The sequence below is a fragment of the Homo sapiens genome, chromosome 7 (assembly GCF_000001405.40).
Source record: "Homo sapiens chromosome 7, GRCh38.p14 Primary Assembly".
Taxonomy (NCBI): Eukaryota; Metazoa; Chordata; class Mammalia; order Primates; family Hominidae; genus Homo; species Homo sapiens.
This window is the reverse complement of record NC_000007.14, coordinates 77,937,485-77,962,087: the sequence shown is the minus strand read 5'-3', so window position 1 is coordinate 77,962,087 and position 24,603 is coordinate 77,937,485. Positions and strand designations below refer to the sequence as shown.

Sequence of the window (24,603 nt, the reverse complement as noted above, 5' to 3'; positions counted from 1 at the left end):
CATCTTCATTTAGGGGCAGGGATTTTAGCATTGTAATGATATGTTAAAGGTCTAAAAGTTACTACCCAAGCTATTGCTCGGTTTCTCTGCTCCTGCCAGTTTTGGGCAGTTTCTGTTACTTTCTTCTCCTTTCTCCACTATCACTACCTCCTTTTTACTTTATGGCTTTGCTCAATTCATGGTTTCTCCTGGGTTTCTGCTTTTCTAGCAACTCCTCCTGCTAACACTGTGTCCTAAATTCAAATTTGCAGTAAGAGAGAATCACACTGAGTTAGCAAGTCACCATCAAGGATACAGTGCATCTACTGGGCAAAGCTCTCATGCCAAAACCAACCCTACAGGCTACTTGCAGGCACATAAAATGGCTGGCTGCTTTAGAGCAAGGCACCAATCGCTGACCACTGAGTTACGGCCCACAGAGAAAAGTGATACAGTCCAGCAGGGCTTGGTGAACATGCAGAAACACTTTCTGCTCTGTTCAGATGAAGGCTGACAGTGTGGCAAGCCCTCACAGTACCATCTAGTATATACAAGGGTTCCACCCAACCTGTAAACCTTAAATAGTTCTCCCATACTCTAGGTACGATTATCTCTCATCGAAATCTAAATAACTTATAACATAAAATCAGGAAAGGAAAAGATTAAAGGTGGACAGGGACAGAATCCTGGGGACTGAGGGAGAGTTGGGCTCAGAGAGCAACATCTTTTTGACAGAGCTGTAGTGGGGAGAAGATGGTAGAATTCATGCTTAATGAATTCTATCTTTTCAGTAAAGTTAGAGGAAACAGATACAGATGAGAGAAACTTGAGGGTGATAAAGGAGGTTCAAAAGAGCCATTGTAGGCAGCATATAAATGGACATGAAATGGATTAAAAGGCACGTTGCCAAATATAGAGCTGAGAGATTTCAGCTACATCTTGATAAGCATGATTTCTAGAAAGTCAAGTTCAATGCTCTCCCAGCAACTCCAAGTATGAACAGTGAGCAGACAACTTAAAGTTGAGAAGCAGGTTGAAAATGAAAGGACTCTAGGGTACTGTTAGTGAGAGTATCCACATATAAATGAGCCAGAGATAAAAAAATGAAGAGATATGAATGGAATATGCATCTGAGAATTTAGCAAAATTGCTCATAATTGGATATACAGTAACACATAGGCTTGCAAAAGGATGAGACTTTCCTCCCACATTTTAGTGTGCCTGCTTAGGAAGAAAGGGAATTAAATGTCAACTTCTTGTAAAAGAATTTTTCACATACAGAAGAATGATAGTTTATAAGAAGGATGATTCTTAATAGTTCTCACATTTGGTGGGGATGCATATGATATCTTATGTAATATGAATGATTTAGCTTGGAAATTTTTGTTAATTGCCCTAGGCCGTTACTTGTTTTTCTTGGTAAGAAAGGTGAAGAGAACCAATTTTCCTGCATAACTAACACATCAGTTCCTTGCTAGGTGCTTTACATATGTTATCTCATTAATCCTCCTAATAGCCCTGTAAGATAGGTATTACTGTTAGTAATTTACAGCTGAGAAAACCAAAGCTCACAGAGGTTAAGTAATTTGCTCAAGATTGTAAAAGAAGCCTGATGCCAAAGCATATGTTCTTTCCACTAGGGCACACTGCAGAGAGTTGAACAGGGAGATGTCAAGATGAATTCTGACGTTTTCCTATTGCCAAGGTTTATTAGTTTGTATATGACCTCACTAAAAAAATGGACAGATAATTTATCAATATATTTGTTCTTCCCAGGGTATTCTTCCTATGATGAACAATTTTGATCAGTCAAGAGGTGCCAAATGCTTACACAAAGATACGATTATAGAATGTATACCTGCAAAGGGGATACGGAGAGTTTGGATTCTATCATTGAGTAGTTGTGCAACCTTGGACAAGCTTCTTAACCTCTTTTGGGTCCTATTTTTTTCATGTGGTAAAATGGGGACTTTGGAATGAGTGGTGTCGAAGGTCCTATTCGACTCAAGTCACACATTAGGTAAATATATTGTGATATTTCTGTGTATCAGGCACTGTTCCAGGTGCTGAGAATAGTGGTAAATACAGTTAATATCTCATGGAATTTACATTTGTCAACCTAAAATAATCAAAAGGGTTAGAATCCAGTAAATTGGCCAGGTGCAGTGGCTCACGCCTATAATCTCAGCACATAGGCCAAGGCGGGCAGATCACCTAAGGTCAGGAGTTCAAGACCAGCCTGGCCAACATGGTGAAACCCCCATCTCTATTAAAAATACAAAAATTAACCAGGCATGGTGGTACATGCCTGTAATCCCAGCTATTTGGGAAGCTGAGGCATGAGCATCACTTGAACCTGGGAGGTGGAGGTTGCAGTGAGCTGAGATCGTGCCACTGAACTCCAGCCTATGCGATACAGTGAGACTCCATCTCAAGGAAAAAAAAAAAAAAAAAAAAAAAAATCTAAGTTTGAGTAAGTTTACCCAAGCACGAAGTTTGACAACAGTCCCCGGAGAAGAACATATTCCAAAGGATGGAAGTCAGTGTTCTGAAGTCTAGAAGTTTGGGATCATTTATATAGACAAAGTTTAGGGGAGCTTAACAGAATTTCTACATCTTTCTATAGAAGGTTTAATGCATAATTCAATGATCTAATTAGCTGAGGTGGTCTTTCTTTCTCTTAAAAGGTATATTTAATATTCCACACTGAAGATGTAACAGTCATGGGGGTGTTTTGCTCCACCTGGTCTGATTTAGGTATAGGACAATAAAAGAGGCAGTTAACCTATAACGAAGATTAGGGACTAGAAGAGGCAGAAGTCTGGTCTCTGGTCTTTCCTAGTCATTTACAGAACAAGAACAATAAGGAAGAAAGTTAATCTATAATCTAAGAAGCAGAAGGGGCAAATATGCTACGTTACTCTGTCTCTAGGACTTAACTTCCCCTGGGCATAGTAAGTTTGGAGGGTCCTTAAATTTTATTTTCTTTTACACATTCTACAAAATTTTGTATCTTAAGCCAATAATTCTCAGGGTGGTGACAAATGGTTAAGTGGAACAAATTTTACAAGTCACTTGGGGAATACTTTCTTGAAAGTGTATCTGTACCACCTCTCTGAAATTATATATATACACAGGTCTCTGCCCCCAGTCGCTGGCACAGAGCTCCTAAAGCTCTTGTAATTTCCTGAATGACAAGGGTGCTAGGAGAATCTTTTCTTCTAATATTTGGTCTTTGACTCTAGTTCCTGTCACGCAGTTCCTAATAGCTTTGTAAATTCCAGGTAATAGGAATGTCTTTTACTGCAAGGAGGCAAATCTTGGTGGGCTCCTAAATGAGCGCCAGTCACCAGAAGAACCAAACCATGATTATAAACTTGGAACTTTCAGTTCCACCTTCCCTCCAGAGAGGCTGGAAGTGGAGTTTATTAATCATGCCTATGTGATTTGAAGTCTCCATAAAAATCCCTCAACCATGGGATTTGGAGGGTTTCTGGGTTGCACAACACATGGAGCCTCCTGGAGTGTGGCACACTCTGGACAGGGCATGAAAGCTCCACACTCTTTCGCCCATACCTTGCCTATGCATCTCCTCCATCATCTGTATCCTTTATAATAAACCTGTAAAAGTTAAATGTTTCTCTAGCAAATTAACTGAACCCAAGAAGAGGGTCGTAGGAACCCTGATGGGGAGGCAGATCACAACCTGGGTCTTGTGCCTGGCATCTGAAGTGGGGGCAGTCTGGTGGGAATGAGCCCTCAACCTGTGGGATCTGACATTCTTTTGGGTGTAGTGTTAGAGCTGAGTTAAATTCTAAAACACCCAGTTGGTGTCTGCCAGAGAATCTGGTATCAGAAGTGTTATGCTGAATGGTGTGAGAGTAGAAAAAAACACTTGGGTTTTTCCCATCCCTAATGGCCTTTTAGATTCCCCAGGCAGTAAGTACTTTGGGGAGCCAGTGCTACTGTTAAGCATTTGTGGTGTCTTTTTGTATAGGCTTGGCAGAAAAAAAGTTGAGAATTATGTTCTAAGTGATACAGCAAACAATTAAGAAGTGCCAGTCATATTGCTATTTTGAAGTATGAAGGGAGATTCATTAAAAGAGCCATTTGTAAGCTTAAAGTAAGTTTGAAAGTGCACTTGAATTAATAGTCCTAGATTAATTTAAGCCCAGTGAACACTTGGACCAATCAGATAACAGAAATATTAGAATGTTTAACCATCCTACTGTTGATCATAATCTCTCATGCTAAATTCATGTGGCAAAATCATTTGTTTAAAAACACCACTATCGGCTGGGCACAGTGGCTCACGCCTATAAGCCCAGCACTTTGGGAGGCCGAGGCAGGCAGATCATGAGATCAGGAGTTTGAGACCAGTCTGGCCAACATAGAGAAACCCCATCTCTACTAAAAACACAAAAAATTAGCAGGGCGTGGTGGTGGGCGCCTGTAATCCCAGCTACTCAGGAGGCTGAGGCAGGAGAATGGTGTGAACCTGGGAGGCAGAGGTTGCAGTAAGCCAAGATTGTGCCATTGCACTCCAGCCCAGGTGACAGTGTGAGACTCCGTCTCAAAACAAACAAACAAACCAAAAAAACCACTATCTTTTCACAATGAGCTTTAATATTTCAGGCCACAGCCAGTTTGCTGTATTCAAAAACAAAGAAGCAAACAAACATTAATGATATAATATCATTTTGGTGATGAAAAACCTGTGTATTATTCTTTCATGTTCTAAGAATCATAACAAAATCTAAAATGTTGGAAAGTTATAAAAAATTTATTTTCACTCCCCCCAAATCTAACTAAATTTTATGTTAAGTAAACACAAAATTACCATAGAAATGTATATGACCTGAAAATTAAAAAAAAAAACACCGTCAGTCACAGAATGTTTTATTTTAAACTTACTGTAAAACTTTCAAATACAACACATGTGGCAAAGAAACAACAGTTCACACACAACATCTGCCACAATTCTCTTTGAACTGCCATTTCTATATTATGTGATATTTTACAATTTCTTTCAATTTCTTACATTCATGGTATTCTTAAAGGCAGCAATGTCAATTTTTCTGCTTTGAAAATAGTTCAGTTAATGTTCTGAAATTGCTTAACATGACATTTTCCTTTTAGTATTCTACTGCTGCCCACACTGACATAATTCAACATATTATTTATAAACTGTTGAGAGGTATACTGTACTTAATAAATCAACTCCCAACTCTAAGTTAACCTCAATCTAAAACAAGCATTTTCTTAAACCAGTATACTCAGCTACTTTTCTCAAAAATATTTCCATTCTGAAATAAGATTTTTTGTGAGATACAATAGTTTCATCTTTTATTCCTAACAGAACTCATGCCGTACTTTTTTTCTCAAAATATATTTGATATATTCTGTGCAAAATGTTAAGTTCTGTATAGGCATGTACCTTATATTGAAAAAGTTTATAAAACATAATTCCTAAAAACAACCTCAACATTAGACAATAGAGGAAGGAAAAACATCAGACAAAGCCTAAGTTTTCACATGAGAAACTAAGTATGTTCTTAAAGCTCCAGTATTACATTCCTTGAAAAAACTCAGAATGCACTTTGGTCATTATTAAACATATTTGAACATAGGCAAATAAAATGAAATGCTTTCTGTTGTTTTTCATAGAAAGAAAAAACATACTACACAATGAGGCTGAATTGAGGCTGATCAAAAGGAATGGTAAGAGCAAAGTGATATGACATGGCTCTGTTCTCCACACATTCCTGATTTTAAGATTATGATTTAGGGATTAGAACTGCACCAATCAAATAAATTATTTACAATTAATCGTCTTAAAGTTCTTAAAATATGGTAAAAATATGAGGATATTCCACATGATACACTTTGCACCAAGAAAATTCTAGATTGTTTCAAATAAATTTTTAGAAACCAGATGCCCAGTTTAAAAAAAATTGCAAAAACTGTTTCATGTTTCATGTAATTTCTAAAATACTCGATTGTACAAATATAACAACTTAAAATCAAGGCCCAATGTAAGACACTATCATATTTGCCCGATTTACCTAACACACCAACATGATAAGTTCTCATTGGACACTTGGCAAATTATTTGTTGGGGAGGTTAAAAGCATCTAAAATAGCCCTTATATAATGGGGGTGGGGTGGGGAGAATGCACCAGATAAGTTTAGAGGATAGAATTTGCAAGCTGAAGCTGTCTTTTCTGAAAATTTGGATACAGTTTTACAACTAGCAATTAGAGAAATATTTTATTGGTTCTTAGCCTTATTCTTCAGTTGTTCATTTCAGTGTGGTATGAATAGCCTACACTAGAGTGTACCATGGGGAGAAAATTATTTACTTGAGTAAACATAATGTACTTTAGTAATATCAGTAGGCACTTCACTTGTGAGATGAGTATATACCTCACTCAAAAGGATACCATATCATGCCCTAGTATACTATAACAGATCCCATATAAAGATACGCATTAAAAGTAACAATTTTAAAAAGTGCACATTTTGAGCATGCACAGTTGGAGCTGTGCAAACAGCCCAGTGTTTCAAATAAATACAAGTATTACTAGTTAATTTTTATCAAAATATCTTACAGTATGGTAACCATTTACAATTATTGCTCTATTACAAGTTTTATCATCAAAGAGCACTTGTTGACCTGTTATATAATACCGTATATATTAATACTGAAGGGTGCTTAAACTGTAACTTAATCAGTTTGGATCCTGGCATTGTTCCAAAATAATTCAAGAGAAACCCTGACTGGATCTTGATTTACCAAAGAAAATGTTTTATGTGTATAGCTGAGTTCAATGCAATATTCCAAAGTTAAAGAATTTTTCCTCAAGTAAGGCAAGTTCACGGCATTGATGGAGAAACGGTGCTGAGCAATGGCTTCTATTTTCACAATTTGTTATTTTGCCAATTATTTATGACCAATTACCAGGATCTCAAGTATCTGGATATCAGTTTCATCACCCTTTCAACAACTAAGTACATCAATGCTTAAAAATAAAAATATAAAGACTAAAATAAATGTAAAAAAAAGTGAACCAGTAAAATAAATATAAGAATTGCACAAGACAGTCTGATGTAAACACTTCAACTCCCTAGCTGAGACTCCTGAAGCAAAGAATCAGTGACAAGCTTTCAGGCAGCTTAGTCAGTACTCTTATTCTGGAAAAGAGGCTACATCTTCTTTTCTTTGAATTGTCATGACTTAATCTTCCATAGCTAGAAAAAAAAAAATAGAAGTGGTGACAAGCCAGTTTTAATATCAAAGCTTAAATTATATCATATAACACCATTTTTAAATTCAAATTTCATTCACAAACAAGTGCAGTTTCTAATATTTTAACTCCTTTATCCTTTTAAGAAGAACTCACCTTAAACACAAACAAAAATGTGAAAATCAGATTTCTATTGCTTTCTCTTGAGAAGTGGCTATATATATATATATATATATATATATATATATACACAGTACTTGTTTAATATGATTATCTTACACCTTCCTAACAGTTAGTTGTGCATATATTGGAAGATGTATGCATTGCTATACAGATAAATAATACAACTTTTGGCCAAAAATAGAAATAAGGCTTTTTTCTTTTTTATCACCTAAATTAAAGCTTTATTAGTAAAAATAAATACTTCTTGCTAGGCGCGGTGGCTCACACCTGCAATCCCAGCACTCTGGGAGGCCAAGGTGGGTGTATCACTTGAGGTCAGGAGTTCGAGACCAGCCTGGCTAACATGGTGAAACACTGTCTCTACTAAAAATACAAAAATTGGCCAGGCGTGGTGGTGCACACCTGTAGTCCCAGCTACTTGGGAGGCTGAGGCAGGAGAAATCCTTGAACCCGGGAGGCAGAGGTTGCAGTGAGCCAAGGTCGCGCAACTGCACACCAGCCTGGGCAACAGAGCAGACTCCATCTCAAAATAAAAAATAAAAAAAACCAAATACTTCTACTTATCCTACACAAGACTTCTATTTATAATAAATACTGTTCCAAGTTAGAAATTCCTGCAGTATTATAAAACATAAATACATATAATTCTTTGAAATTAAATGTGAAATGTTCAATAATTGCAATCTTACCAAAATGACCGCATTACTGTGCATGTGAGGGTAAAATGGGCGCAACAAAAATGCAACAGGAAACTAAGAAATAAAAAGTACTTGCAACCTCTTACCTTTAAATTAAATCCAAGCAAGTCACTGATAACACCAGAAACAGCTGACAGGATAACAACCTGGGTGATGTTATAAAGCAGCGGATTCATTGTAAGCCCATATAATCTAAAAGGACTGTCCAACTCCTAGCAGAAGAGAAAAAAAAGTCAGTCCCAGATTCAAAAAGAATTACTAAGCTAATTCAGAACAATATACAATGAGAATTAAAAAACACTTTCAAAAAAGTTACCAATTATGGATGCTTTTAGAAAGGATAAACTTGGTTAAACTTGAAAGAAGTAAATTTCAATAATAGTTTTAATGGTTTTAAAGGAAAAAGGAACTTCCTTTAAAAGAACTCTGTGACTAAATATGTAACTCCAATTTCTGTCCCTTAAGCTATTATAAAGAGGCTAGAGAACATTTTTTAATATAAGAACTAGACTAGAAACCGAAAGAGAACAATACCTTTCGGTAGAACAATTAGAAATTGGCCAAATTTTCTGACAAGATTATAACATGTAAAAACTCCTCTTTGAGTCAATTCATTTTCAAATACATGTATTAATTAATTGGTTAATTCAAACATTTAAAGTTCTATCATATGCCAAGCCCTGTGCTAGGCTCTGGGAAGTTAAGATTCAGTCCCTGAACTGAAGGACCTTACAGTTTAGTAGACATGCAACAAATAATTAAAATATGAAAGTCCCATTTCAAAGGTACATATAAAAAGCAAATAATGGGGCCATAGAGGAAGGTGCTCCTGAAACTTTGTGGATGGTGGGGAGTAAATATTCTAAAAGACACATGAGAACATGACACATCTGAATTGCTACAGGTTGCTCAGCATTGTTAGGGCCCAAGTACAAGGAAGAAAGATCATTGGGCCAGCAATGTAGAAGAAAGACTAGGGAGCAATGAGATCAGAAGCAAGAATATCTGTAAGGAGTTCAGTGTATCAAAAGCATAAGTGAGAGACAAGGATCTCACATAGGGCCGTACTAATAGAGAAGAGGATGAATTGGAAGATATTTAAAAGACTGAATCAGCGGACTTGAGAATTTCTTGGCTGTAAAGAGAGAGAGAAAGAAGGTACGATCTATGTTAAGTCCCAGATTTCTGACTAGGAGACTATGTATGATCAAAAAGAATCATACTATTATGCTTTGTTATTCTAGTCATTTTTATACTTTGCTCTGAGATTGTGGCTGCTCATTGAGTCTCACCTTTGTAGCCCCTTCCTACACAGTGCCTACACTCTGAAGATAGGCAATATACATGTGTCAAGCAAACACAAAACTATTAATTCAAGATATTTTTTTCCCATTGAGCATTTTGGTCAAAAATGGAGTTTGCCTCTATTATCTTGCTTGTTATTTAAATGTCATCATCTTCCTCAGGATAATTAAAGGGATTTGAAAAAGAAAGCAATCTGTAATTGCTTTTTATTATCCCCCCACCCACTTCTTCTGAACCCTTCAATACTATGTGGTGCATAGTCTATACCCAATTCACACTGTTTAGTTGACTGAAGAATTAACTATAACACTGAAACACAACTAATTTCATACCATTCTCTGAAAACATAAATAACTCTAACAATTATATTCAATTGGTTATAGAAGTTGAAATTTTAAAAAATATTTTCCTTTTAAGAACTAAAAACATAATGAATATTGTAAGCAGTGATAAAAAATGTTTTATTAAATTACCCCCAAAGAGTTACTATGAGATAAAATACATCAAAATTGTATTCCTTTTTGTTATCAAAAATTAAATGTTTATTTATGACACATATTTATTATGATAATTATGTATTATTACTTTTTAAGCTAACTCAGGCCAACCAGAAGACTTCTCTGAGAAATACAAAATAAAAAACTTCCCAAGTAAACAACAAATTTTCTTTTTTGATATCTATTTTAAGGTGTAGGAGGCATACATTTCCAAAGATGCCAACCTCTACAATACTCCAGACATATTATTATTAATATACAATTTCCAAAGAAATTATTTGGATTAGTTCAAGCACTTTTGCAATGAGAAGTAAAATATAAATTGTATGTATGTGCACAAGTATAATTTGGAAACAACTTGGATAATCATGAAAACCACATACAAAGTAATATCTATAAACAAAAAAATAAAATTATGTCAGAACAGCATATTTGACATTATAACCATTTTCAGTTCTATTCTTACCTTTAGCAGTTTAGTAGCCAGTTTTAAAACATTATTCACTAGTGTCAGTTCCTCCTTTTTGTTAGGTTTTTTCTCCATTTTCAAGTAGAGGTTTATCTTTTATAAAAAGAATAGAAATGCTTCAAATTATAATAAATACACATTTTTAAAGGACTTGAAAGATATTCACTCAAGTATCTGGTTATTGAGATTATAGGTGATTTTAATAGTCTTTATACTATATATTCCAAATTTCCTATACTTATTTTATAATAGGAAAATAATAACTGTTTCTCAAACACTTTTGAAATGTAATCAAAAGCCAAAATAAAAAAGACTGGATGGCATTATTTAAAAGGTGAGACACTTTATTATCGGAGCCAAATCAACCTAAAAAATAAATAATAATTAGAATAAACTAAACCAATAGTTTATAATTTTTCTTTCTTTCTTTTTTACTAGAGATGGGGTCTTGCTATGTTGCCCAGGCTGGTATTGAAATCCTGGATTCAAGTGATCCTCTCATCTCAGCCTCCCAAAGTGTTGGGATTATAGGCAGTCACAATGCCTTGTTGTTTTATGATTTATTTGAAAGTCACTCAAAAATATTTGTGTATTTTTATTATCCACTCTATAATAGATAATTTTGGGGTATCCACAGTTCCTTTCTTTGAAAAATGCTCTAACCCCAAGCCAGTGGAAGAAGCAAGCCTAGGCAACTGTGCTTATCCCCATTTGATCTCACCTTTACCCCCAATCTGGCAGCCATCGCTGATTAGGCTGGAATGTACACCCAAACCAAAGCTAGTCAATATACTGACTGGTGAGACTAACATGATATATCTATCAGATATTGTAGGAACATGAACTGAAAAGTTAGTAAAAGTCTAAGCCAGAACTCGTGCTAAGCCAAACCAAAACCGTGTGTAAACCAAAATCATAGGGTAACAAGTCTACAGAAAGGCCACAGAAAGAAAGGTGATTAGAAGGGTGGAAATGAGAAACCATTAGCCTCAGAGCGAGTTGGAGGAAGTGGTTGATTTTGTCCAATTTCATAAGGCTCAAGTATACTTTTTTTTGAGTTGGAGTCTCACTCTGTTGCCTAGGCTGGAGTGCAGTGGCACAATCTCAGCTCACTGCAACCTCCGGGGTTCAAACGATTCTCCTGCCTCAGCCTAACAAGTAGCTGGGATTACAGGCACGCACCACCATACCTGGCTAATTTTTGTATTTTTTGTAGGGATGGGGTTTCACCTTGTTGGCCAGGCTGGTCTTGAACTCCTGACCTCAAGTAATCCACCTGCCTTACCCTCCCAAAGTGCTGAGATTACAGGTATGAGCCACCGTGCCTGGCGGGCTCAAGTATACTTTCTCAGGGATCTTTATCTTTGTGGGTTACTCTCCTGTTTGAGCTCATTTGACAGGTTTATTGATTGTTTAAAATCAAACTATCCCTAACTAAAATATTCATGAGAATAAGTTTCTTTACAAAATTCCTATAAAGTGGCGGGAGGAAAATATTTAACAAATTCATACAAAATAAAATTAACCAATTATACTTTATTCTTTCTACTGAGTAAAAATGTATACTTACTCAAATGCGGCTCTGCTACACTGCAAAGCAAACATGTCCCATTCATAGTTTAAAATACATTAATTTAACAAATGGTACTTCCTTCTTGTCAAATAAAAATGGGACATTAAAAAAGCAGATTGGATTTGAAATATGAGTCAAGGCAGGAACACTGAAGAAAGGCTTGTGTCCTATTAAATTTTACATTTTGCTTTATAGCACAAATGACCTTAATCAAATAGAACACATTCTTGAAAAACATAAAGGAAATGAAAACATTTTAACTTATAGACATTAATTTGTAGCATAATAAGTAGGCACACTCACCTGTTCAGTAAGTAATATTGAGGTATTACTATATTTTTTACTTGTTTCTGATCCAAGGGTAACAAATCTTAGGAGAAAAAGTGTTAACGAGATGCACCAGATTACCAATTCCCAATTGTAGTGACAATCAAGGAAGATCTCGTGTACATGAAGTAGCTAAAAGTATGAAAAAGGTAACATAAAGCAGCAATGTGATTCAAACAATTTCTTTTCAAAAGAAATAAACATAGATTGTTCATAAATTTAGTATTACATTTTAGAAACATTCTACATTAATTATGAAATATTTTAAGCATATCAAAAGTATAGAGTATAAGGTAATTAATATCCATGGGGCCTCTACCCAGTTTTGTCAAATCTTAATATTTTGCAACATCTCTTTCAGATTAAAAAATAATATTACAGATTCAGTTGAAATCACTTTAAACTTTGCCATCTCATTTTTCTTCCCCTTCCCACCCCAGAAGTAATGAATTTTATGTTTATCTTTTCCATAATGGTTTTTATAGTTTAGCTACATATACATCCTTGAACTATATAATTTTTTGTATATTTTAAAATTTATTTTCTAAGCACTTGGGAGTTGGAAAAAAAAAGGAAAAAGTTTATATAAATGTTACATTATCTACATCATTCTTTAATTTCTTTTTATTCCACTGAATGTTGTTTTCAAGGTTGATTCATGATGATAGATTTAGCTCTAAATTTATTCATTCTAACTCCTATGTTAAAGTAAAAAAATCAGCCACAATTTATTGGCCAGTAAAACAATCAACCACAACTTATTGGTCAACCCTATCATTAATATTTTGTTGCCAATTTCCATTATTACAAGCAATGCTGCAATACACATTCTTGTATGTGTTTCCTTGTACGCACATGCAAAACTTTCTCCAGAAGTTAATATCTGGGAGCCAAATCACTGGGTTCTTGGATATTACATCTTCAACTATATTAGATATTGTAAGTTAGTCTCTGAAATAGTTGCACCAATTTATACTCTCAGCAGTGTATCAGAGTTCCCTTTGCCATCATTTTCATTCATACTTGTTATTATCTAACTTCCTAATACCTGCTAATCTAATGGGCGTGACGTGTTCTCTCATTGCCTTAATTTTACTTTTCCTGATATTTAGGGAGGATCAGTATGTTTCATATGCTTATTGGTAATTGAATTTCCTCCTGTGAGTTATCTTTTTATATTCTACATCCACTTTTTTTCTAGTATGTTGTTCGTTTTTCCTATTGATTTGTAGAACTTAGTTCTATAATGTGACTAACAATCCTATTTAAGTCATTTTGCCACTATCTTTCCCAGATTCTGGTTTGTTGTTTATGGTGTCTTTGCAGGACACAAAATTTTAATTTTCATTTGTGATCATATTAAAAATTTTTTCATATTTAGATCTTTAATCCACCTAGAATTTATTTTTATGTATAGCATGAAGTCATTTGGTTTTGCTCCATTTTTACCTCATATTTCCATTATGTAAAGCCTTCCCACATTGATATATAATGCCATCTGATCATATATTAGGTTTCTACATATATATGGCTATTTACAACTCTATTTCATCCCATTGGTCATTCTATACCTGGGCAAAAATCATAAAGTCTTTCTGTAATTTTAAAATAAGTCTCTCATCTGAAGGTTCTAAGAGAAATTTAAAAAAGAAAAACAAAAAGAAAAATTAGGCCAGGCATAGTGGCTCACGCCTGTAATCCCAGCAATTTGGGAGGCCAAGGCAGGTGCACTACCTGAGGTCAGGAGTTCAAGACCAGCCTGGCCAACATGGTGAAACCCCCGTCTCTACTAAAAATACAAAAATTAGCCGGGCGTGGTGGCACACTCCTGTAATCCCAGCTACTCAGGAGGCTGAGGCAGGAGAATTGCTTGAGCCGGGGAGGCAGAGGCTACAGTGAGCTGAGATCGTGCCACTGCACTCCAGCCTGGCCGACAGAGCAAAGACTCTGTCTCAAAAAAAAAAAAAAAAAAGAAAGAAAAAAGAAAAAAGAAAATAAATCTTCATATTTCTGGTACAGCAACTTGTTCTTCAAAATTATCTGGACTACTCTTGTCTTTCTGTGCTTCCAGATGAGTTTTAGGGAGCTTGATGAGTTACTTATTTTTTTAAATAAACAAAGCATTCTGTTTAATTACAAGGGATTCCAACAATTCCCCCAGGAGAATCAATATGAAATTGAAATTGAGCCTTCCCACCTATTAACATTGTGACTAACATTGTATACCTTCTTTTTTTAATTTTTTTTGAGACTGAGTCTCACTCTGTCGCCCAGGCTGGAGTGCAGTGGCGTTATCTTGGCTCACCGCAACCTCTGCCTCCCGAGTTCAAGTGGTTCTCCTGCCTCAGCCTCCCAAGTAGCTGGGATTACAGGCATGGACCACCGCGACGGGCTAATTTTTGTATTTTTCAGTAGAGATAGGGTTTTGCCATGGTGGCCAGGCTGGTCTTGAACTCCTGACCTCAGGTGATCCGCCCACGTAGGCCTCCCAAAGTGCTGGGATTATAGGCGTGAGCCACCGCGCTCAGCCTCATTGTGTACCTTCTTTTAAAATTTTCAATAAAGTTTTATCCTGTTTCTCCATAAGGTCCTACATATCTTTTGTTAGAATTATTCTCGGGAATCTTTTGTTGTTGTTGTTGTTGTTGCTATTGAAAATAACATATGCGTTTGTTGTTGTTGTTTTTAAAGACAGGGTCTCACTCTGTTACTCCAGGCTGGAGTGCAGTGGCACAATCATGGCTTACTGCAGCCTTGACCTCCCAAGGCTCGGGTGATCTTCTCACCTCAGCTTCCCAAGTAGCTGGGATCACAGGCATGTGTCACCATGTCTGGCTTTTTTTTTTTTTTTGTAGAGACCAGGTCTCACCATGTTGCCCAGGCTGGTCTTGAACTCCTGGGCTCAAGGGATCCATCCACCTTGGCCTTCCAAAGTGCTAAGATTATAACCATGAGTCACTGTCCCTGGCCAGTATTTACAGTTTTCAATTATCTATTTCTGTATATAACAGATGTCAACAAATTATGGTCCACTGGCCAAATCTAGCTTTAGGCCTCTGTCTGTCTCGCCCCATAGCTAAAGGAAATTTTTATATTACTTCAAAGGAAGAAGAAAAAGAATGTATTTCAGAGATTGTATGTGTCAGGCAAAAGTCTAAAATATTTATCTGGCCCTTTACAGAGGAAGTTTGCTGATCTCTGGTTTATAGAAACAAAATTAATTTTTAAAATGTTGTTGTATCTATTTTTGTTAATCTTCATATAACAAATCTATTTTAAATAATGTGTCTGTAAAGTCGCTTGGATATTCTATATAAACAATCATATAGTTTACGATTGTTTTTCCCCAAACTTTAGACCACTTTTTTTTCCATCTTTGCTGATTAATACCCTCCATCAAATGCTGACTAGAAGTGGTAAAGCAGATAACTGTCTTATTCCCAATTTTAAAGTAAATAACTCTTAAGGTGATATCATTATGTATAATGCTTGCTCCAAATTTTAAAAGATATACTTTATCAGATTAAGGACAATACTTCCTAGTCCTTGTATCATGAATGCCCACTGAAAATTTACAAATTGTTTTCTGCATCTATTGATATGATTGCATGTTTTCTGCCTTTAATCAGCTTAAATTGCATTAATGGATTTTCTAAAGTTGAAATCTGCATTCCAGGCACAAACTATCATAGTCATGGCCTATTTACTGTAATTCACTTTCTGGCTTCATCTTCTTAGTATTTTGTTGAGGAATTTTGTATCTAATAAATGAAACCAGCTCAGTTTCCCATTTTCATACTAGCTCTATGGTACTGGCATCAAGGTTATATTAGCCTCACAAAATGAGTTGAAGAATATCCCCTTTTCCTATTGACTAGATCTTTTGTGTAAGTTTAGGATTATCTATTTAAATATTTGACAAAATTCATCTGTAAAACCATACGGGTATGGAGGATTTTTGTTGGTGGCATATTTTAAACTACTAAAATTTTAAACTACTTACAGTTACAGATCTCTTCAGGTTTTCAATTACTTTTTGAGTCCGTTTTAATAGATTATGCATTTCTATAAAATTGGCCACTGATGCCTTCAACTTTAATGACATAAAGCACTTCATACTAGTATCTTAAAAAAAATTCTCAATTGTGCCAGTATTAAACTGTTTACAGTTTAATAGTGTGCTCTTTCTTTTAAAGAATGTATTATTTGTATGGTTTTAAATCTCCAAATATATAAGATTTTTTTGTTGCTATCATTCTTTTCTACTTTGACTATACGACAGCCAGATATTGTGGTCTGTATAGTATCAGACATTTGGTATTAGTTTTTACTTTATTGCCTAATACATGGGAAAGTTTTATAAACTTCCTTGTATCTGAAAAAAAAAGTCATCAATTCAGAAAAATTCTTAGCCATTATTTCTCCAAATGTTGTTTTTCAGCATTCTTTCTTCCTGGAATTCTTTTTCCTTTTGGAGACAGTCTCTTTCTGTTGCCCAGGCTGAAGTACAGTGGCGTGACCTTGGCTCACTGCAACTTCTGCCTCCCAGGTTCAAGCGATTCTCCTGCCTCATCCTCCCGAGCAGCTGCGATTACAGGCGCGAGCCACCATGCCCAGTTAATTTTGTATTTTCAGTAGAGAGAGGTTTCACCATATTGGCCAGGCTGCTTGCGAACTCCTGACCTCAAGTGCTCTGACTGCCTCAGCCTCCCAAAATGCTGGGATTACAGGCGTGGGCCACCACACCCAGCCTCCTCCTGTAATTCTTATTAGACCTATGTTGGATCTCCCACGATGTCTAAATATCCATTTTGCATTTTCTGTCTCTTTATCTCTGTCCTGTATTTTAGTCATTTCTTTCACCTCCCAGTTCACTATGTCTTTAGCTTTCTTTAATTTGCTATTTATTCTGTTCATTGTGTTTTAAAAGTCAGTGACTTTGTTCCAGCAGTGAAAAGCAAAAAACAAGTCAAAAGTCAATAACTGTATTTTTCATTTGTCTGAAGTTCTTTTTCAAACTTATCTGTTCTTTTTTCACAGTGTTATCTATGTCTTTCATCACTGTAAACAAACTTAGTTTCCACCTGATCAAACTGAAATAGCTGGAGATCTAATCCTGCTATGGGTTTATCTGTTGACTCCTTCATGTTAGACTGTTTCTTCCTATGTTTTGATACCGGAAGGAGCTTTATCTGTGGTTCCCGTGAGGTCTAGGCTGAAGTCGCATGCCTCCAAACAGCCTTGGTTTTGCTTCTGTCAGGTATCCAGGGGCCTAGGACCACTTTTTATATTAACTTTTTGACATGAGGGTTACAGGACAAGATGTATAATGTCAATATGAACCCTAAACCTGTAGTAAGGGAAGAGTTATAATTATATATTCTTAGAAGAGACTTTTCCCCCGTCCTTGTCATCCAGAGTCAGATAAGCTTCCTTCTTGTCGTCCAGTGCTGGTGAGCAGACTGTTTTTCTTATCCAACTTTTCACTGAGGCTGTAGATCTTTGAGGGTTTGACTTCATGGTGTGAGTAGGGAGGTACACAGGTCAAGGCCTCATCTCCTGTCCTACGTGGGCATAAAATTTCAAGTCTCTGGGATACAATACTAATACTGGCAATGTACTTCACTCTCTTATTCTCATGCTGCCATAGCATTAATGCTTATTCTTAAATGCTCTGGTTTTCAGTTTTGTCTTCATTTTTGGCCCTTTATTATCTTATGAACTCAGATATGTACACAATATGTACATTCAAAAGCTGAGGGTTCCCCCGAGCATTGTTTGATTTTTTTTTTTATTTGTTTGTTTTTGGAGACAGAGTCTTGCTGTATCCCCCAGGCTGGAGTGCAGTGGTGCAATCTCCGCCTTCTGGGTTCAAGCAATTCTCATGCCTCAGCCTCCTGAATAGCTGGGATTACAGGCGCCTACCACCATGCCCGGCTAATTTTTGTATTTTTAATAGAGACGAGGTTTTACCATGTTGGTCGGGCTGGTCTCGAACTCCTGACCTCAGGTGATCCGCACTCCTTGGCCTCCCAAAGGGCTGGGATTACAGGTGTGAGCCACTGTGCCCGGCCTGTTTGATGTTTTAAAGTAGAAGAATTTTCAGATAATCTAGTACATCATACTACTTGGAATGGAGGTTTGCATATATTTTATTATTTTTGTTTTTAAAATTTTAATACGTTTAAACTTATTTTTTAATATTACACGGCCCATGACACAACCCTCAGGAGACCCTGAGAACATGTTCCCCTGCATTATAGCAGTGCATATCCTGAGATACTTTTGTACTCCCTAACTAAGCTGGGTCACTAAAAATTCTTTTTCAGAGTATGCAGCAGTTAAGTCACAGTAACAATTCAGGTATAAAAAATGAAAGAATAGGTCGGGCGCTGTGGCTCACGCCTGTAATCCCAGCACTTTGGGAGGCCGAGGCGGGCAGATCACGAGGTCAGGAGATTGAGACCATCCTGGCTAACACGGTGAAACCCCGTCTCTACTAAAAAAAATACAAAAAATAAATTAGCCGGGTGTGGTGGTGGGCACCTGTAGTCCCAGCTACTCAGGAGGCTGAGGCAGGAGAATGGCGTGAACCCGGGAGGCGGAGGTTGCAGTGAGCCGAGATCGCGCCACTGCACTCCGCCTGCGCGACAGAGCGAGACTCCATCTCAAAAAAAAGAAAGAAAGAAAGAAAGAAAAGAATAGTAAACATGAATAAATTGGATATTCATGGGACAATTTCATAACTCATACGTTTCTTTTGGGAAGTAAAGATAATGAGAAGGATTCTAGGCAAAAATTAATTAATCTGTGTTCATTCAACAGACATTTGAGCATACATGCTCACTGTTCATGGCACAGAGATAAGATGCACTTATTTATTCTACCAAAAAAACTGCAAAAAGGTAACTTCAAAACTTACTTTCTAACTAGGCTTACTTATATTATTATTTGATTATTTATTAATCTGAAAGTTAATATTTATATATCTGGTTAATTTCTACATGGAGCGAGTTAACTCACCTGGGCACAACAGATAAATACAACTGAGATAGTCAATAAGAAAGCAGATGAAACTATTACATCAACTGATCGCTGAGGACCTCGACGCTGCAGGGTGTGGGTGGAAGGGAGAAAAGGAAACATTTTAAAATATATTTACTAATCAGCAGATAATTTCCATGGTTTCAATAAAGGTGTTGACTCATCACCATCAGTTGATCACAGCCCACAATGTTGAATATACCTAATTTGTTAGGCAAATTTTAATGATAGTGTTATGATTTCCTGAGGAATTGCAACAGAGTTAAAAGGGTATCTATATTTATATAGCATAAAATTATTGGTATAACTTTCAAATACTTCATTTTGTCAAACACAAGTCATTTATTCGACAAATATTTCTTAAGCACCTGCTTAGCACTAGATACTGTGCTGGGTGCTACAAATACAACAGAGAACAACACATGGTCCCTCTACCTTCACAGGAACTAGGAGGGGAGTGAGACATCAAGTTAATAATCACAGATATATGTGATAAATTGTGATGAGTGCTAAAAGGGAAAGACATAGGATGCTTTGAGATACTTGGCAGGGAGACTTCATTTAGATTTGAGGGTTAGGAGTGCGGGCCTGTGAAGATCTCCCTAAGGAAGTGATATTTACACCAAACTAAGGGGGAGGGGCAGGGGCATGATGGCACACAGCAGTGTTCTAGGTAGAAGGAAGGGCATGTGCAAGAACATAAAGCAGGACAGATCACAGCTCATGTAAAGAACGGAAGCAGTCTAAAATGGTTGGAATGTAGTGGACTAGGAAGGAGAGTGTTTCAAAATGAAACAAAAGACAGGTGAATAAGGGAGAACTTAGATCATAAAGGGCATTATAAACCTTGTTAAGATTTTGTGCTTTATCTTAAGAGAAATGAAGAACCTCCAAAAAGTTTTAAGAATATAGGGCCAAATATACATTTTTAAATGATCACTGGTGGCAGACTGAAGAAAGGAATGAAAAGAAGAAATGTGAATGCTGGAATGCCAGGTAAGAGGTAACTGAAGTAGCATGAGGTAGAAGATGATTGATGGTTTCAATGAGGGTGGCAGAAATGGAACAAAGAGAAGCAAATGGATTCAAGATATATTTTGGGAGCAGAAAAGATAGGAATTGGTGATAAATTGGAGACTAGAGATTAAACTAGGATAATTCCTAGGTCTGGGCTTACATTCCCTCACTGAAGTATAAGCTTACGTATGAGGGTAGGGGCTTTCATCTCATCAACAATGAATGGCACATGGTTAACATAAATAAGTGTTTACGGAATAAAATAATCAATGTACAAAAGAATGTAACACCTGCTTAGGGTTGACAATGGAGGAAATTTTGGACGAATTCAAGCGATCAGATTCATCCCTCCATACAACAGATATGTCATAGGAAAAAAATATCCATGCCAATTTGCAGCAGTGACACTAAGTAAGCTAAATTTAACAAGTTAAATTAATAAACAGAACAATGAATTTTTTAAATATAAGAGTAGAGAAATAGGGCATTATTATTATTAGGGCTTCTTTGATTATTATTTCAAAATATAAAGCATTAAAGATCTAGGTATGTCAGAGGATGATTGGTCTTCAGGTCAACTTTACTAAGATACAGACAGTGCTGTGAATAAATATCATTGGAATTTGCATGATTACTCCATATATAATGACATTCTACTGCTACTTAATGCAATAACAAGAAGTAATCCTCAGAAAAAAAGTGTTTTCCTAAAACCAATTTAGATGTTTCCCTCTTCCCTCCAGAGTTTTTATATCATACTTCCATAATTAGGAAAATTACTCAAAAGATTAAAGGAAAATAATGACATGAAAAGAATGACACTGAATTGCAAACTAATATTTTAAAATAGTAATAGGTCACTTCTGTGAGGAAACTCATTGGTTATTTTTTTTAAATTCTTTTTTAAGTAGTGGGCTCCCTCTGCTGGCTTGTGACAACCAGGCTAGTAGAAACAAAATCCCTAATCCAGTTTTTGAATGAGTAAAAGCTGGTTACTATACATCTAGAGACAAATATATATTGATAAAGAAACTGGAACTATCAGAAAGGGCCAGCATGTTAAAGCTACTTTTATCACTCCCATTCTACCTTAAGATAGGAACGGAGAGATAGCCACATTTTTATATTCTGTACTTTCTTCAACCGGAAATGAGGAACCTCAGATTTTCGAGCCCTCCTTGCAGATGTTAAATGTCCAAAGAGTTTTGCAAAAAGTAATCGCTAAAAAAGATTAAGATGAGGATTAATTTTCAAGTAGATTACCACAGAAAAACAAAATTAACAAAATATGAATTGTTAAGATTTTATTTGGTTAGGTACTATAAAAGCAAAATAAAAAATAATTAGGTAAAAATGATATAATGAAATAATAAAGTACTTCAGGAATACTTTTAATATTATGAAAACGATAAAATATTCTTATTCGGAAGTCTACATTATACCCACCTGTTTATAAGTTCTTTCTGCTACACAGAGCAAAAAAAAGAAAATCCACACAAGAGACACGCGAACCACAAAACTTATTATAACCATAGAAAGAACTATGACATCTTCATTAGAACCAAATGCAATCACATAAAGTTCTGAAGCAGAATGTGCTGTGAGTTGTTCCAAGTCTGTAGCTTGAGAAAGTCGGAAAACAAATGGAGTTAAACCCAGTATGAGAGAGACTGCATTTCCAAAAATCTGGTATCCTATTCCTGGTATATGGCTGTTCACCTTGAGGGAGCCAGGGGAAGAGAGAGAAAAGAAAAATAAAATTATACCATAAATTTTATCTACAGTAGAATTATTTATAGCAATATGAAATCATTTGTTAAAATATACTCATTCTGAGTAATTTGAATCCCATTCAAGTTTGAGAGCCTACTACATATAAAATGTCATTAATTCTTCAGATCTTAAAAACAATTATCAGATCGCTAATTTACTAAGTAGATGGCAAAAGGACTGTCATCCAGATCTTGAAAAAAATTTATGTATTTCATTATTTCAAGTTAGAAATATTCATAAATACTGCAATATTAAAGAGAATGAGATCTCATATCCACTGAAATTCAGTTCATTGAAGAAAAAACTCAGCATTACACTTATTTCATACGTTTGTACATTTGTAACTTGAGGTTTTCTTTCTGTTTTCTTTTTTTTTTTTTTTTTTTGAGACAGGGTCTCACTCTATTGCCCAGGCTGGAGTACAGTGGCACAATAATGGGCTCAAGTGATCCCTCCCAACTCAGCATTCCTAGTAGCTGGGACTACAGGTATACACCACCGCCCCCAGCTAATTTTTTGGGTTTTGTAGAGATGTAAAGACAGGGTTTCACTATGTTGCTCAGGCTGGTCTTTAACTCCTGGGCTCAAGCGATCATCCCTCCTCTAGCTCCCAAAGTGTTGAGATTACAGGCATAAGCCAACACACCCAGCCGCTTACATTTCTCTTTGAATAGTCCAATATATAAATAAGTGTCTCCTTAAACTCTAAAAGCATTTTAGAAGAGAGATGATAGAAGGAAGAAGAAATTAAACAGAAAGGGAAAAAGGTGAGGGAATTATTTTAAAAAAGGAAATTAGATAATGGGACAATATAAAAGCTTCCAGTATGCTAGACTGGCAGAACTAAAAGAGATCTTAACTATCATGTAGCCAACTTTTTATAATATATATTAGATAAATGAGACCATTGTAAGTTAAGTGATCTGCCAATTCACAGGTAATTAAGTTACAGAGCACAAACTAGATCCAAGATTCCAGAGACTTCCCCGTCAACTGCTTTTAATTGCTCACACTGAGATATGTTATAGGGAGTATTATCAATTTCTAGACCCAGTTATTATAATTCCTGTCTTACACAAAGTGTGGAGAAGAGTTCAAGCACAATAATGCACCAAAGAAATTTAGAAATTGCAAGTTAAAAACAAGTCCAGAGAAATCAACACATTTTATTTTATTTTATTTTTATTTATTTATTTTTTGAGACGGAGTCTCGCTCTGTCGCCCAGGCTGGAGTGCAGTGGCGTGATCTTGGCTCACTGCAAGCTCCGCCTCCCAGGTTAATGCCATTCTCCTGCCTCAGCCTCCCGAGTAGCTGGGACTACAGGCGCCCGCCACCACGCCCGGCTAATTTTTTGTATTTTTAGTAGAGACAGGGTTTCACCACGCCTGGCTAATTTTTTTGTATTTTTAGTAGAGACGGGGTTTCACCATGTTAGCCAGGATGGTCTCGATCTCCTGACCTTGTGATCCGCCCGCCTCAGCCTCCCAAAGTGCTGGGATTACAGGCGTGAGCCACCGCGCCCGGCCAATCAACACATTTTAAAAATCAGTAATTATCTGAAAAAAGAAATAATAGAAAATAAAATTTTAATCCACAGTATTTCAATTAGACTTCTTTGAACTACTCAAGACTTTTACCACTATCTGCATTACTTCTATATATTTAAGTAGGTAAGCAAGTATGAATGCAAATTTACTAGTTTGATTTTTTCATGTCTTAAGTCCTATTAAACAAATGAACCAGTAAGAATGATACAGAAAAATAAGTCTTTTTAATTATTTTTTTATTTTTAAAGTTCTTGTAACAACAATCTCTAGTCCAAAGAAAAGTCTTTATTAACACCTGTATATATCTAACAAGCTCCTGAATTTCAAAAGAAAGAAAAAGATAAAAGAGAAAAATTATAGACCGTATCATCTATTCTTGGTCAGATAAGTGAAAACACTAGAAGATGAGAGTGGTTTGGTGACAAATCACTGTTTAAATTACAGACAGAAACAAATACACACATGTAACTTTTTTTTCAGGGTGAAGAAATGAGGTCAGAAGGTTACTAATATAATATTCCAGTAATTATCTTATATATAATTACTAAGTCTTACCCTTGAACTACAAGAATAAAATTTAAAAACTCACTCTGTTCATTATCATTCCACTGATTTCAAGTACAGACATGTCTGCTTTCTTACAATCATTACCTTCCCATACTATAGCACTTATTTTTTCTAATCCTGGGTGGGAACTATGGAGCCAGGGCAAATGACTCTATAAAAAAAAAAAAAATTAGTAAATATATAGATCACATTTAATAAATAAAATGTGTGTATATAAAGTTGTATATATATCTCTATATACACACACAATTTTAATGACACTAAAAATAAAAATTGGTGAATATATTTATCATGTTTTATAAATGGAATATATAGATCTGTGCACAGCTAATATATTTATACACACAACTCTAAGACACTAAAATTCTATCTTAAA

At 35.8% G+C, this 24,603-nt stretch overlaps 1 protein-coding gene across 22 annotated transcripts in view; it reads right to left on the bottom strand.

Moving 5' to 3' along the window:
* Nucleotides 1-4,583: 4,583 nt before the first annotated feature.
* Nucleotides 4,584-24,603, bottom strand: part of PHTF2 (putative homeodomain transcription factor 2) — a 158,732-nt gene continuing 138,712 nt past the window's right edge. For 8 of the 22 annotated variants that reach the window (XM_011516423.4, NM_001127358.2, XM_005250509.5 and 5 more), the window contains 8 exons: nt 24,250-24,378; nt 21,786-22,058; nt 21,429-21,560; nt 19,302-19,388; nt 12,255-12,410; nt 10,376-10,471; nt 8,194-8,319; nt 4,584-7,230 (listed from right to left, as the gene is read on the bottom strand). In XM_011516423.4, the coding sequence (XP_011514725.1) occupies nt 7,210-7,230; nt 8,194-8,319; nt 10,376-10,471; nt 12,255-12,410; nt 19,302-19,388; nt 21,429-21,560; nt 21,786-22,058; nt 24,250-24,378 (1,020 nt within the window). In that variant the 3' untranslated portion in view covers nt 4,584-7,209. Of the gene's footprint in view, nt 7,231-8,193; nt 8,320-10,375; nt 10,472-12,254; nt 12,411-19,301; nt 19,389-21,428; nt 21,561-21,628; nt 22,059-23,879; nt 24,379-24,603 lie in introns of those variants that run through there. The other 14 variants (XM_011516422.4, NM_001366084.1, NM_001366087.1 and 11 more) reach the window with 8 other exon arrangements.